At 40.0% G+C, this 15,780-nt stretch overlaps 2 pseudogenes, 1 gene segment (V, D, J or C) and 1 further gene; all 4 read right to left on the reverse strand.

Annotated features, from left to right (window-relative positions):
* The window catches only part of IGH (immunoglobulin heavy locus), a 1,293,408-nt gene that overhangs the window by 966,020 nt on the left and 311,608 nt on the right, over positions 1-15,780 (reverse strand).
* On the reverse strand, positions 4,480-4,941 carry IGHV3-49 (immunoglobulin heavy variable 3-49). The segment is given in 2 exon segments: positions 4,480-4,792; positions 4,896-4,941. Coding segments are annotated over 2 exon segments (359 nt in total), but the record flags the coding sequence as incomplete, so codon positions are not given.
* IGHVII-49-1 (immunoglobulin heavy variable (II)-49-1 (pseudogene)) lies at positions 11,872-12,142 on the reverse strand (annotated as a pseudogene). The gene is given in 1 exon segment: positions 11,872-12,142. A coding segment is annotated over 1 exon segment (271 nt).
* On the reverse strand, positions 13,644-14,099 carry IGHV3-50 (immunoglobulin heavy variable 3-50 (pseudogene); annotated as a pseudogene). The gene is given in 2 exon segments: positions 13,644-13,951; positions 14,054-14,099. Coding segments are annotated over 2 exon segments (354 nt in total).

Genomic DNA, 15,780 nt, shown 5'->3' on the forward strand with positions numbered 1-15,780 from the left:
TATCAATACATCAATTGGTGTACCTTAAATACAGAAAATTTTATTTGTCAGTGATAGCTCCATAAAGCTGAAAAGGTATAATGCATACTTATATTTCAACATATTTTATCAATAAAAATGTGTGAATATAAACAGAAGAACTTGTACAAAGATATGTATGACAGTTTTGTTTATGATATTTATATTGGAAACAAATTTAAATTCCATCAACAGGAAAATAGATATACATATTGTCACTTATTCCCTTAATGAACTGATTTATTTAATAATCTGTCATTTATTAATGCAATGGACTGATTCAGATATGAAATATCTATATGTGTATGAGTACATACATATTTATACATATGTTGACAAAACCTTGATAGATGCTATCACATGAATGAACCTCACAGATAGTAAAAGCTTCTTACAAAAATGAGCTATAATATTTTATTCCATGTATATGAAATTCAAAACAAGAAAATGGACCTATAGTGACAGAAATCAGAACATTTTTCTATTTACATTTCTCTGATGATTAGTGATGTTAAACATTTTAAAAATATATTTGCTGGTCACTTGTATGTATTCCTTTGAGAAGTGTCTGTGTCATTTGCCCACGCATTAGTCCATTTTCAAACTGCTAACAAAGACACACCCAAAACTGGGAACAAAAAGAGGTTTAATTGGAATTACAGTTCCACATGGCTGTGAAGGCCTCCAAAACACGGTGGCAGGTAAAAGGCACTCCTTACCTGGTGATGGCAAGAGAAAAAGAGGAAGAAGCAAAAGCGGAAACCCCTGATAAACCCATCAGATAAACCCCTGATAAGTCTCATTAGATCTGGTGAGACTTATTCACTACCAAGAGAATAGCACGGGAAAGACAGGCCCCCATGGTTCAATTACCTCCCCCTGGGTCCGTCTCACAACACATGGGAATTCTGGGAGATACAATTCAAGTTGATATTTGGGTGGGGACACAGCAAACCGTATCAGCCCATTTTTAATGGGGTTATTATTATTATTATTTTTTGCTTCTTGATTTGTTTAATTTCCCTATAGATTCTGGATATTACGGCTTTGTTGGATGGAACGTTTGTGAATATCTTTCCACATTCTGTAGGTTGTCTGAGTACTGTGCTGTTAGTTTTGTTTGCTTCTTTGTTTGTTTTGCTGAGCAGGAGCTCCTCAGTTAATTAGGCCCCACTTGTCTATTTTTCTTTTTGTTGCAATTGGTTTTGGATACTCAGCCAACATTTTTTTGTCAAACCTGATGTCAAGAAGAGTATTTCCTAGGTTGTCTTCAAGGATTTTTATGGTTTGAGGTCTTACATTTAAAACTTTAATGAATTTTGTGTTAATTTTATACATGTTGAAAGTAGATATCCAGCTTCAATCTTCATCATATGCCTAGCCAGTTGTCCCAGCACCATTTATTGAACAGGGAGTCCCTTCCTCATTGCTTGTTTTCATCAGCCTTATCAAAGATGAGATGACTGTAGGTGTGCAGCCATGCACCACTCAGAATGGTTATCACTAAAAAGTCAAAAAACAATGGATGCTGCTGGGACTGTGGAGAAAAGAGAACACATACACTGATGAGGGGAATATAAATTGGTGTTTCCATTTTGGAAATCAGACTGGAGATTTCTCAAAGAACTTAAAACAGAGATATCATTTTACGCAGCAGTCCCACCACGGGGTATACACTGAAAAGTAAGCAAATAATTCTACCAAAAAGACACATACACATCTATGTTCATTGCTGTGCTATTCACAGTGGCAACGACATAGATCAAACCAGATGCACATCATTGGTAGACTGAATATACAAAATGCGGTACATCTACAATGTATAATACTACACAGCCATGAAAAAGAATGAAATCATGTCCTTTGCAGTAAAATGAAAGAAGCTGGGGCCCTTAATCCTAAACAAATTAATGTAGGAGCAGAAAACTGAATACCACATATTCTCCTAAGTAAGACCTCAGCATTGAGCACACATGGACATAATTATGAGAATGATAGACACTGTGGACTGCTGGAGAGTGGAGGGAGAGGATGGTGGAATCTGTATTCCAAACCTCAGCATCACTCAATAATCCCCCGTGACAAATCCAAACATTTACCCTCTGTATCTATATTAAATTTGAAAAAAAATTCCTTATGTGAGAGCTGACTGGAAGCACCGAAGAGGACACTTGTTGTGGAGATGGACCTGCTCCTCATCATAACTTAGATGCTGGAGACAAATGTGTGCACATTTGCCAGAAACCCTCAAACTGTACATTGAAAATATATGTATTTTGTATAGGTTAATTTTATCTCATAAAAATCAAAAATTGACATTTGTAGGAAAATATTTTATATTGAAATTAAAATATTAATAAAATGTATATGAAAATTAAAATGCAAAATGTAAATGTGATTATTATGATAATTATTAAAATGCATTCAGCTCTATCTACTAGAATAAAATCCCAGAAATAAGAAAGATAAAGGTGGCATCTTAAAATGAAAAATTAATAAATACACATATCACGGGTAAGTAAAACATGGCTAAAAAATATGTGGAACATTTTATATTATTAGTTATAAAAGTTAATAAACTAGTGATATAATATTTTAACCTGATTTATCAGGATAAATTTCTAATATTCTGTATAAAATCACAATTGGGGACAGCTGACAGGAAAATAACAATATTTGCAAGTTCATGTTCTAAATGTTAATATAATCTCAATGTTGGCTCAGCTATTACACCTGAAATTTGTAATTATATCATTTATTTGTTTGAGTCTTTGGAAAAATTAATTTTAAGAGATGACTTAGCAGAATCATCTACAATATGGAGATAATAGCATCTCATCTACAAATAAATTGAGAATCCATAATACATGTATATCCTGATAAGAAACCCTGTTCCATGGAAAAGGGCTTATCCTATTTGGTTGTGATACGTTACTGTTAAAATTATCACCTTCACGATGATTTAGAAAATTAAAGCAAACCCTGATGAATTGAAGTGTGATGTTGCTTGTTTGGTACAACAGCGGGGTAAGGATAATGAAGAGCCCTGTGATCCCGAGGAGATGGCCTAATCCAAGGAGAGGGAGGCTCCAGGTCGTGTGGACTCACACGGGGCTCCTCCTTCTGCCCGTCCTGCAGCCTCTCCAGAAGTCTTCGGGAGACAGGGGTGAGGATGGGCCCTCGAGATGATCCAGTGAGATCTGGAAGCGAAGAAAAAGATAATGATCTGGGATAAATTAAAAAATTAAAATAAAGAAAATTATTGTAATTTCACAAATTATGGTTGTTTATATTTATAAGGTAAGAAGCAATGTTATGATTTGTGAATACAATATGGAATAACTAAGATAATTGAGAAATAAGATAATTATCATTCACCACCTCAAATTCTTATCATATATCGTAACAACAACATCTGAAATTTACTGTTAGCTCTCTTGAAATGACCAATATACTACTTTTAAATGAACAAATAGAAATAAATTCAAGTAAACGATTAAAAATAACAAATCAATTATAAATTACTCTAACATTTATATTTACTTCATCATTATGTTTGATTCCTTAGGACACATTTTTAGAATTATTTTATTGTAATGTTTAATATAAATCCCTATGGTTATATGCATAGGTCTGCGTGTTTATATATCTTTTTTCTTTCTTTCCTTCTTTTCTTCCTTCCTTCCTTTCTTCCTTCCTTCCTTCCTCTCTCTTTCTTTCTCTCTTTTCCTTCCTTCCTTCCTTCCTTCCTTCCTTCCTTCCTCTCTCTTTCTTTCTCTCTTTTCCTTCCTTCCTTCCTTCCTTCCTTCCTTCCTTCCTTCCTTCCTTCCTTCCTTTCTTCCTTTCTTCCTTTTCTTTTCTTTCTTTCATACAAAGTCTCGCTCTGTCGCCAGGCTGGAGTGTAGTGGCAGTCCACTCCACTCACTGTGACTTCCGCTTCCCGGATTCAAGCAATTCTCCTTGCTCAGCCTCCCGAGTAGCTGGGATTACAGGCGCCCCTCACCACGCCAGGCTAATTTTTGTAAATTTTTAGTATAAACGGGGTTTCAGGCCTAAACAACTGTCTATCGTTAAAAGTGTTTGTCCCTATAGCTATGTAGTTGCTGATGTCAACAAATGTTAATAAAACTCTGGGAGAATCAGTGCAAATAATTAGGAATGTTTATTTCTTGAAAGTATACACTTAAAAATATATCCATAGAGTTGTAAAAATTACCAAAATTTAAAAACTAATGATAATAAATGAACAGTAAATACAAGTAATAAAATATCACAGCCTAGAAGGCTCGAGTCCTGGGAAGATAAAGGTGACTTTTCCAGCCAAGGAAAAAGGAAACCTCCCCCTGCACCTGCTCCTGGGACCTGTCCCGTACTCAGTCGGTCCCTAGCGCCCCCTGGTGGCTCTGTGCGCCCCTGCAGGGAGGTTTGTGTCTGGGCTCACACTGACCTCCCCTCACTGTGTCTCTAGTACAGTAATACACGGCTGTGTCCTCGGTTTTCAGGCTGTTCATTTGCAGATAGGCGATGCTTTTGGAATCATCTCTTGAGATGGTGAATCTGCCTTTCACAGACGCGGCGTATTCTGTTGTCCCACCATAAGCTTTGCTTCTAATGAAACCTACCCACTCCAGCCCCTTCCCTGGAGCCTGGCGGACCCAGCTCATAGCATAATCACCAAAGGTGAATCCAGAAGCTGTACAGGAGAGTCTCAGGGACCGCCCTGGCTGTACCAAGCCTCCCCCAGACTCCACCAGCTGCACCTCACATTGGACACCTGCAAACACAGAAACACCAAGGTCAGAAACTGCCACACATATCCACTGTTTCTACCACTCATGTCCCCTCACACTCAGTATCTCTAGTACACCATGAATTACCTTTTAAAATAGCAACAAGGAAAACCCAGCTAAGCCCAAACTCCATGGTTGGTGGTCTGTGTTCAGTGCTGATCACCAAGTGGAAACTCCTGGGAATCTCACGGCTGGGGCTCCTCTCCCAGAGCTGCAGGGTCAGGGCTGGGCTCATTTTCATCAGCAGAGGGAGGGCCTTATTTGCATGTCTCCTACTATATACCAAGCTCTGGGGTGGGACACCTGAGGAGAGGACGGGGCCCAGATAAGATGACTGTGCCTTGAAGGAGTTTGGTGACAATGATGGTATTTGGGAAATATGCTGTCTTATTGTAAAATTATGCTGTGATAAACACCTTGAACTGATCACCCTATTTAATTTTACATATTTGTATAAATTATATTTTGTCAGTCAGTGGTCTCTCCATGTACAGATGTGGAAGTAAACCACACACGGAAAAGGGACTAAGTGTGTATGTTAGAGCTCATGTTTGGGATAAGTGATCGCTGGTATCTTGGCCTGTGCTCCTCATCACTGGCCCCAATAACTCCCTGAACCAACTCCAGGACAAAGCTAAATGTGCCGAGTGTGGTTTGTAGAACCCACTTTCTGTAGTGAGAACATGCGTGATTTTGCTGCATTTTAGCATTCACCTAAAGATATGGTGAGAACTAGGGTTCAGGCAGATACATTCTTAAATATTTCTGAAATTTAATATACATTTTCTCTTTCTATCACTCCTTCTTGTCTAACTTTCAATTTTTGCTTGTAATAAAGTTTATAAGTTTAGTTTACAGATAATAAACTTTCACATATTTAAAGATTACAGTTGATAAAAATGATGTAACCGTCATCCTTATCAAGTTGGACAAGAGAATTCTTAACATTTCCTTTTGTTCTTCTGTATTCTTTCTCCTTTTCCTTTCTTTCTTCTACCATTTCCCTGGCAACTACTGATCTTTACATTGCTGCAAATTCATTTTAATTTTTCAGAATTTATAAAAATGAAATAACATAGTATACATTCTCATTTGTTTGGCTTATTTTAGTTAGCATAAATGGATATTTTACCTTGTAGTTGGGTATATCAAATGTTTACTTATTATAAATGCTGGGTAGCATTCTAGCAAACAAATTTACTATAATTTGTTTTCCTATTAAGCAGCTAAACAATATTTGAATTTTTTATTATTCTGGGTGTTACTAAAAATTTGCTACTAAGCTTGGAAATGTACAGAAAAAAGGAATGTATTTTTCTTATTTTTTACAACTGCATCAACAATAACAGATAAACATGGAGGATGGAATTTTGCCAATTTTCTTTAATATTTCTGATAAAATTTCAAAACACACAACAAATCTGAAGCTTATGGAGAAGCAATTTCTTGTAGAGAGTAACAAAGCCAGGGTTTGAAATTACCTAAGGCAGAGTCTGGAATATAAAATATTGTCTGTTCCAAGAAAAAATACAAATATATATTGGGCTGCTTGAAATTGAGTGTGGGAAACGCTTTTTAGTGTGAAATTTTAAGGGACCACATGCCCAAAAGCAACCTATCCTCTTGAATCCCTTTCCCCAAGAAAGGGGACAGTTACTAAAGTCTTACTTTCCCGAAGTGTCTTTCTGGGAGAGAACAAGATCCTCGACATCTAAAATGTATTCAGACCCAACTCCCTTAATCCCCCTACAGAACTAAGAATTTACTCTGCAGGGACAAGCTACTGAAACCAGAATCCTAGGAACACTGGTTCAACCCTACAGGAATTGAGATGGGAACAGAGATCCTCACCAAAGATCTATTGAGGAGCAGCTCCCCTATCTTGCTTATGGAATCAGAGCCTTAGTCTGCAGGGCAGGGCAGAAGATCTGGAAGGTGATGACACTGACTGAGAACACTAGAGCTGTGGGAGGGAGCACCTGGGGAAAACAGGAGGACTCTACCCCAGGGAAAGGGGCAAGAACACCCAGACCAGCATCTCATATGGAGGAGGGTCAGGAACACTCACAAGGTCATGCCCAGACTCTGGGTCACAATGCCTTCCTAGGAATATGGAAAAAGGAATATGGACCTAGGAATATGGAGTCTTTAGCCTAATGTCTTTAACCGATTTAGAAATTGTCAGTTAAATAAAACAATTGAATGCACCTGAGGGAGCTGAAAGAGATTCTCTGGGGTACAGAACAAGTTGAAGAGACAAAGTCAAGCAGACAAAAAACAAAGAAGGCATCATTGGAAGATTTGTAATCTCTGGTGGACATAGAACAACAGAGTTCAATTAGTTTTTGAAACCCTGAAATCAGTCTTTAGTAATTTTATATGATAAAATAGTCAGCCTCATCAATGGAGTCTTATCCCCATCAGGGATGAATATCCGTGTGGGCACGTGGTGCATTTCTGGTCATGGAGGCAGGGGAGATGGTTGGTTGAGGCATTCATGGTCCTTCAGAAGAGAATTCCAGAAATGTCTCTGCCCCTTTTCCAGCCAATATTTAACATATGTGTGTGAGCCTTGGGAATGTTGTCACCATGTCACAGCATGATAGGAGTCCCCTGGGGGGTGAAGCTGCCTTTCTGGATGTATCAGTGTGGAAAATTGAGACAAGAAACAGCCTGGGCACATGAGCTGTCAAATTATTCAATCCTGGAGCCACTCACATCCAGGCTTCCTGTTTCATCAGGTTGTGATTTTCCTCATTGTTTGGTCAGCCTGGGTTGTCTTTCTTCACTCTCTGCTGAAATAGTCACACATAATAATCCGGAGGCTTTGAGATAAGTAAGTGACTAATTAGATAATTAGAACAAGTGCCAAGTGAATTTACTGTGTGGTTAACAAAGTGACAGACAGGAGACATGGCTGGATACTACGAGAGTGTTCACATCTATTTTATCTAGATTAGCAAAATATCTTGTGTATCCCTTAGGTAATATTCCCATTGAGACCCTTGATTTAACATTAGTTCTTGATTAATAACACTTAAATAATAAAAGTAGTGGTTATTAATTAATAATATATATTACTAGTGCAAATTTTCATTTAGGATATATTCCTCTACCTGATATAAAATCAGCCCAGAAGGCAGAAGTTATTGCACTTACTAGAGCTTGTCAATTAACCAAAGACCAGGATTAAATACAGATGTTCTACTGTAGTGCAGAATTTTAAACTGTGCTGCAGGCAGAGGAGGTTTTTAAATCTCCTGGAAGCCCCATCAAAATGGCCAACAAGAAAAGACACTTTCAAATAAACTCCTACATTCTAGAGACCTTACATATAAATTTGAAACTAATGCAAACAAAGAGAAAAACAAAATCTAGTATGGAAGCTAGAATAATGTTCTGGTGCATCATTACACCAAACACTCAGTCTTAACCTGGTTTGTAATATTATCCAAACAGAAGGCATTGCCATTGTTCGTATCATACAGAATCAATCCCACTCACAATATTCTGGATATGTTGAAAAAATGGCATCTTTAAATTTAAAAATTATAACCACTTTAATAAAATATGGAAACTCTCTTGGCCAAGAGTTATCCCACAAGCACTACGGCATTACGTTCCCTCTCTCAGGACTCATCAGTTACTGCCCTGTGACTTGGGAGCTGGAAGATTCATACATTTAGAAATTTTACCCTCATTGCTCACCTTCCTCCTACTGCAGGCGTGTGTTACACAATATTGAACGTAATTTTTGTATTATACTCACTCCATCACCAAAAGTTTAAGGTTGCCTTTTTATGTCATCTTTTAATAGTATTTTGTGATCTTCAACCATGAAATTATCACTATTGGAAGAAACATCAGGAGAACACTCTGCTGTTGAAACTATTGAAATAAATCTTATCAGACATTATTAACCAAAACGCTGCAGAGAAAATTCAGGGAGTCAATTCTTGGGTTAATATTTTGCAACCAAATAATCATTTCTGAGCAGACATGGTGGCTCATGCCTTTAATTCCACCATTTTTAGAAACAAAACCAGGGGAATCACGTGAGACCAGGAGTTCAAGACCAGCCTGGGCAACATAGAGAGACCCCATTTCTATGAAACAATTTTTTTTAAATCAGCTGTGTGTGGTGGTGCACCTCTCTAGTCCATGCTACTCAGGAGGCTGAGACAGAAGGATTATGTGAGCCAGAAGTTCAGGGTAACAGTGAGCTATGATTGTGCCACTGCACTCCAACCTGTGTGACACAGTGAGGCCCTATCTCTAATTATACTGATAATAACTAAGCATTTTACACAGTTGTAAGGCACCTCAAATATAAGATATTAAACTGAGTATCCTCAAAAATCCTCTGGTGGTTCTGATGTTTTGGAGCAGACAGTTCACCTAAGACATTCAGAATAGGTGGATGATTTTAGATAGTGAAAAGTCTCCACACAAGACATTGGAACAGGACCCTTGTCTAATCCCCTGCCCCATGCCTTTCACCTCACTCTCCTTGTTTTCCTCCTAATTTTCATTATGATTTGCTTATTCTTATAAGCAGTCTTCTCCTTTTTTGTAGGCCTGGTTGTTGTCCACCCATCTTGGGCTGATATTTTTTTACTCTTTTTTTTTTTTTTGAGATGGAGTCTTGCTCTGTCACCCAGGCTGCAGTGCAGTGGTGTGATCTCAGCTCACTACAACCTACGCCCCCTGGGATTAAGCTATTCTCCTGCCTCAGCCTCCTGAGTAGCTGGGATTACAGGCGCCCACCACCACAACCCAACTATTTTTTTTTTAAATATTTTTAGTAGAGACGGGGTTTCACCATATTGGCCAGGCTGGTCTTGAACTCCTGACCTCATGATCCACCTGCCTCAGCCTCCCCAAATGCTGGGATGACAGACTTAGGCCACCGTGACCAGAACGATTTTTATAGGTGCTACATAGAATAAGTCATCAGACTATTGTTTTGATATCTGACTGCTGATAGCTTAAGGCTCATTCCTTCATCATCTCCTTTCTTTCCCACACGAGGTGAATCTAGTTAGGAATCACAGGAGTTACCCTATTTGAAGCCATGTAGATGTTCAAACGCCACAAACTCCTTTCTTGAGTGAGAACCCTCACTCTGCCCACACCACCAAGCCACTACAGGAACCCTGAGCCAGTCTCCTTTCTTGCTCTATCGAGCCATTTTGGACATTCCTGAGAGACCAGCTGTACTCTCAGCAGACACCTGAAGAGTGTAATTAACCTTTCCGTATTCACATGGGGGAGTGTGTGGCACCCACAGATGTGACATCCACATGACATTTTAATTGTGATCTCTTGGCCTTTTTATGGTGTCAGCTAGAACTGATGCTGTGAGCTTGTTGCCACGTCTCCTAACCACAGGACACACCCGTTCCCTGAACCAACCCCAGGACACAGCTGGACATGCCTGATGTGGTTTCATTAACCCCCATTATGTAATGAAATCATGACATTATTTTCTTGTATTCTAGCGTTTCCCTAAAAATACAGGTGGACTTAGGGTTTATTCGTGTGTATATCCGGGAGTCTTTGATTTCTTATGTATATCTAATTAAATCTTTAATTCTGTGTTGAGAAATTTAAAATTTCTTCAGTTTGATGAGTGAAGTCCTTATGCTATTGTTCTGTGATTTTCTTTTTTTATTTATCATACATTTTATTCATCTATGTCTAACTAATTTTCTACAAAATTATACTTGTTTTAACTTGTAATATTTTAATAGGGTGAAATTCACAAATAATAGGCATCCCACAATGTGTACGATTTGATTAATAGTGACATAACTATTACCTTCATCAACATAGAAAAAACTCCACTACCGTCAGCATTTCTTCTTCATTTCCTACAATTTCTGGTTCCTAACCCTTCCCTCCTCACACCAGGTCCAGAGTCAACTACTGGTTTTCTTTATGTAACTTTAGATTAGCATTCATTTTATAGAATTTGTAAAAGTGGAACAGTATGTATGTACTTGTATTTGTTTGTCTTATTTTAATAAGCATATATACTTGTGAATTTACACTTGCTGTTGAGAGTATCCAGCCTTACCTGATTGTAACAGTCGGTGTTTTTCCAGTGAGCGAATTTACCACCTTGTGTTTACTGATTAAGCTGATGATTGGTATTCAGATTGCTTTCAGCCTCTGGGTATTATTAAAAAAAAGCTGCTACTCATCTTAGAGAAGCACGCAGCTGAGAAACACAACGTTCTTATTCTTACAACAATATGAACAGTGGCTGAACTGGAAAAGCTGCGCTTTAATCAATTGTCTTCAACACATCAGGTAATTGAAGTTAGAAAATTCTGTGTGTGTTTCAGTTTGTGAGCTAGAGAGGAGTGAAGAAGGGAGAAAGAGGAGAAAGAGACATAATTGACCATGATTTATGAGGTTCTCAAATAAATCCAGGGACTCAGAGTCTTAATGGAAAAGTTCCACATAAGATGGAGAGGACGGGCCGGGCGCGGTGGCTCACACCTGTAATCCCAGCACTGTGGGAGGCCAAGGCGGGCGGATCAACTGAGATCATGAGTTTGAGGCCAGCCTGGCCAATATGGCGAAATCCGGTCTCTACTAAAAATACAAAACTTAGCCAGGCGCGGTGGTGCACACCTGTAATTCCAGCTACTCGGGAGGCTGAGTCAGGAGAATCGCTTGAACTCGGGAGGCGGAGGTTGGAGTGAGCCGAGATCGCGCCACTGCACTCCAGCCTGGGTGACAGAGCAGGACTCAAAAAAAAAAAAAAAAAAAAAAAAGGGAGAGGACGACTTGATGCACCTACATATGGTTATTTATTTACATAAACGCCATTTTCTAATAATACAAAGAATCACGTACATGAGAATAAACACAGTGGCGGGTGTCAGTGAAATATGATGATGATGCCAAACCCCATCTCCAGCACCTTTTCCTCTTGCACCTGCCTTGATGTGTGTCCTGAGCGCCCCCTGGTGTCCCGAGGGCCTCCCGCAGTTCCTGAGCTTCCCTGCAGGGAGGTTTGTTTCTGGGCTCACAATGACTTCCCCTTGCTGTATCTTTTGTGTAAAAATTCATGGTTGTGTACTCGTTGCTCAGGTAGCTCAGCTGTAGAAGAAACTGTGTTTTGGATGTGGATCTGGAGATGGTGACTGGACTCTTGAGGCGTGGGTTGCGTTGTGTTCTCCCTCATGACCTGTGCACCTGATTCACTCCAGTCCCTTCCCTGGGGAGCTGAGGGATCCAGCTCCAGCAGGAAGCACTGGTTGTGATGGAGAAGCAGAGACAGCACAGATGAGGGAGAGGGTCTGTGAGGGCTTCGCCAGGCCAAGAACGCACGAGAAATACAGATGTCGGCATGCACAGGTTCTGAACAACACGTTGAAATTCACAAATATGCACATTTTCATGAGAATGAAGAGCTCAGTGTTTTGAAATTTGTGAATCCCCTAGAACAAATAGTGGATACTAAAGTTAGAATAAGAATAATAAATGGTCACTTATTTTCTTCAAACTTTCAACCAAATAAGAAAGAGAATCTGCTGTCAGGGGAGTGGGTATTGAATTATTACCTCTGTCTATGATAACAGTGATTTTTCAGAATCTGATTGACCTGTGATAGCCTAAAGGATGTCCTAATCCTGAATCCACAATTAGACCTGAGCAGCAATCATGGGCCGTGGAGGTCGCCTCACATGTGGAAAGATCTGACTCTGCAAAGCTGTACACGGGGGTCTCTGCAGGCCCTTAGTTGTACAGGAACAGCTCCTCCCTCAGACTCAGAGTAAGGACAATGTGCTCTTTATCTGGGGGAGGTGAGGGTTAGTGTGTGGAAAGAACCAAACTCACTCTAATCAATATCTCTGTACTTGGACAGAAACCAAGGTTTACAAGAATCAATGAACTTGGGATAAAGTAGGAAATTACAAGGACATTACAATTGTTTGCAAGCTGCGCGCTTGCTTCTCCATGTCATCTGAGAGGACCAAGGAAAATCATGTTTTCTTCTGTACATTTCCATAAAAGGTGTTCCCACCCTGAGAACGCACCTCCTATACCTCCAACGTCAGGGAGCCCCTGGACCAGGCACCCGGCACAGCTCTCTGACACCATCACCCGGTTTTTGACAAAGAGACCCATCCTGGAGCTCCTCCCAAACAATGACTGTGCACAGTGAAGATGCTAACGCGTGGCTGCTGCTGGGCACATGGGGGATTCCTGATGGACAGCTGTGTTCCAGGAGGAACCAGCGGCCTTGATGGACTTAGCTTAGACCACAGGGTTGTTGGGAAGCTCCATCAGACTCCCACCTTCTCCAGCACTGTTGTGAGATTGGCATAGTGAGCTGACAATGTCTACAGCCTCACCCGGCCTCCTGCGCGCTTTTCTGCCTCTTGCCTCTCCCCTACACTCCACCACCTGCACCTCACACTAGACACTTACAAACACAGAGACATTTTGGTCAGAACCTGCCACACATAATCACTGTTTTTTCACTCATATCCACTCACACTCAATATCTTTTGTTCTCCATTATTCGCCTTTCTGACAAATGACAATGTTTCCTCCTATAGTAGCAAACTTTACTAACCCAGAGACATCAGTGGTAGGCGCAGATCCATAAAGACAGAGGCCCAGGCGAACTGTTGGATGCAGAGGAATCCACAGATCTGGAAGGAAAGTAGACCTTTGCCTTCACCTGCACCTGTACCTGCCCCTGGAACTGTCCCTGCCTTTTGTGTGTGCTGAGTGCCCACTGCAGCCCAGCCTCCTCCCTCCTCCCTGCAGGAAATTTTGTGTCTGGGTTCACACTGATGTCCCTTCATTTGGTACCTTTGACTCAATAATACAGAGCCATATTCTCAGCTCTCAGACTGTTCATTTGCAGATACAACCTGTGCTTGGCATTGTCTTTGGAGATGGTGAATCTGACCTTCACAGAGTCTGCATATTATGTCTGACTTCCATCGTACATTATATCTACTACTCACTGCAGCCCCTTTCCTGGAGCCTGGCAGATTCAGCTGATCTAGTAGCTACAGAAGGTGGATTCAGAGGATGCACGGCAGAGTCTCAGGCACATTCAGCTTGTGCCAACTCTCCCCAAGACTCCACCATCTGCACCCCACACTAGACACCTACAAGCACAGAGACATCTGAGTCAGAACCTGCCACACAGAATCACTGTTTTTTCACTCATATCCACTCACACTCCATATCTCAAGTTCTCCATTATTCGCCTTTTAAAATAATGACAAGGGAAACCCAGCTCAGCCCTAACTCTATGGTGAGCCATGTTTGTACAGAGCTGATCATCAAATCCAAACTCCTGGTAATTCTGGACTAGAGATCTTCTCCCAGAGTTGCAGGGTCAGGGCAGGGCTGGTTTTCATCAGGAGAGGGAGGGCCCTATTTTCTTGTCTCCTCCTCTGTAGCAAACTCTGATGTGGGACCCCTTAGGAGAGAGCAGAGCCCAGAGCAGATGTGAGACTCCTGGAGGAGTTTAGTGGTGATGGCAGCATTTGGGAAAATATAATTTCTTATTATGTGATTTTCCCATTAAAATTACTAAGCAATTATTATTTTATTTCTATTTTACATAGTTATAAAAATAGAAATATAACCGCATTAACAAGAGTTTAAGAGATATGAAGTGAGAAATAGAAAACAATAAGAAAGGAGGAGACTTCAACACCTCACCCTCAATAATGTATAGAACATCCATAAAAAAATTCTTAGGAAGCCCATGGACTTAAACAACACTATTGAACAAACTGACCTAATAGACATCTACAGAACATTCCAACCAAGCGCAGTGTAATACGCATGCTTCTCAAGCACACTATAAATATTCTTCATGATAGCCTATATGTTAGATAAAAAATGGCTCTCAGAATTTAAAAAAGTCATGCCAACTGTTCTCTAACTTTTTTAAAAAATGATGAGTCGCCAACCTTCTAAGCTATTTCTAAAAGGCTACAATTACCGTGTTGCCAGTGACAGACAAACACAAAGGAAGAAAATTAAACTTCAAAGAAATATTTATACAAATGAACTACACCAAAATAATAGTCAACTAAGTTCTATAAGACTTTAAAAGGATCATGCAACATGACAAACTCAAATTTCCAGTCCATTGACTCAAATGTCAGCCTCCTCTGGCAAAACCCCCAGAGACACACCAAGAAACAATACTTTCCCAGCCATGTAGGCATCCTTTAATCCAATCAAGTTGACACCTAGTATCAAGCATCAAAAGCCCACCTCTTGTCAACTTAGCACCCCTACACATCTAGCTGCAATCATGCTTGATCTCCAAATAAAGACAATAATAAGGTCATAATTATGCCTAACATAATACAGCTATCCTTCATACAACTGAAAGTGCACTAATCCTTAACCTACATACATACCACTACATATAGTTAACAACATTTAAATGCTGTTAGGAAGTCAATAAATCTTGTGACACATGATAAAAAGAAAACAAATTCAATGAAAACAATTAATATATTTTTGTTTGTTTGTTTGTTTTTTAGATGGAGTCTCAGTCTGTTGCCCAGGCTGGAGTGCAGTGGTGCAATCTTGGCTCACTGCCACCTCTGCCTCGCGGGTTCAGGGTTCAAGCTATTCTCCTGTCTCAGCCTTCTGAGAAGCCTGGGATTACAGGCACCTGCCACCATGCCAGGCTAATTTTTGTATTTTTGGTAGAGACGGGGTTTCACCATACTGGTCAAGCTGGTCTCGACCTCTAGACCTCAGGTAATCCACCCACCTTGGCTTCCTAAATTGCTGGGATTACAGGTGTGAGCCACCGTGTCCGGCACAATGAAGATATTTTCTTAGTACAGTTATACACATGCAGAAATATATTCCTAACAAGATATGGAGAAAATATCCTGAGACTTTGCTGAAGTTGCTTATCAGCTTAAGGAGATACTCACGACAATTACGGTCCCCACTTCTG

This window comes from Homo sapiens, chromosome 14 (genome assembly GCF_000001405.40).
Source record: "Homo sapiens chromosome 14, GRCh38.p14 Primary Assembly".
In the NCBI taxonomy this organism is placed as follows: Eukaryota; Metazoa; Chordata; class Mammalia; order Primates; family Hominidae; genus Homo; species Homo sapiens.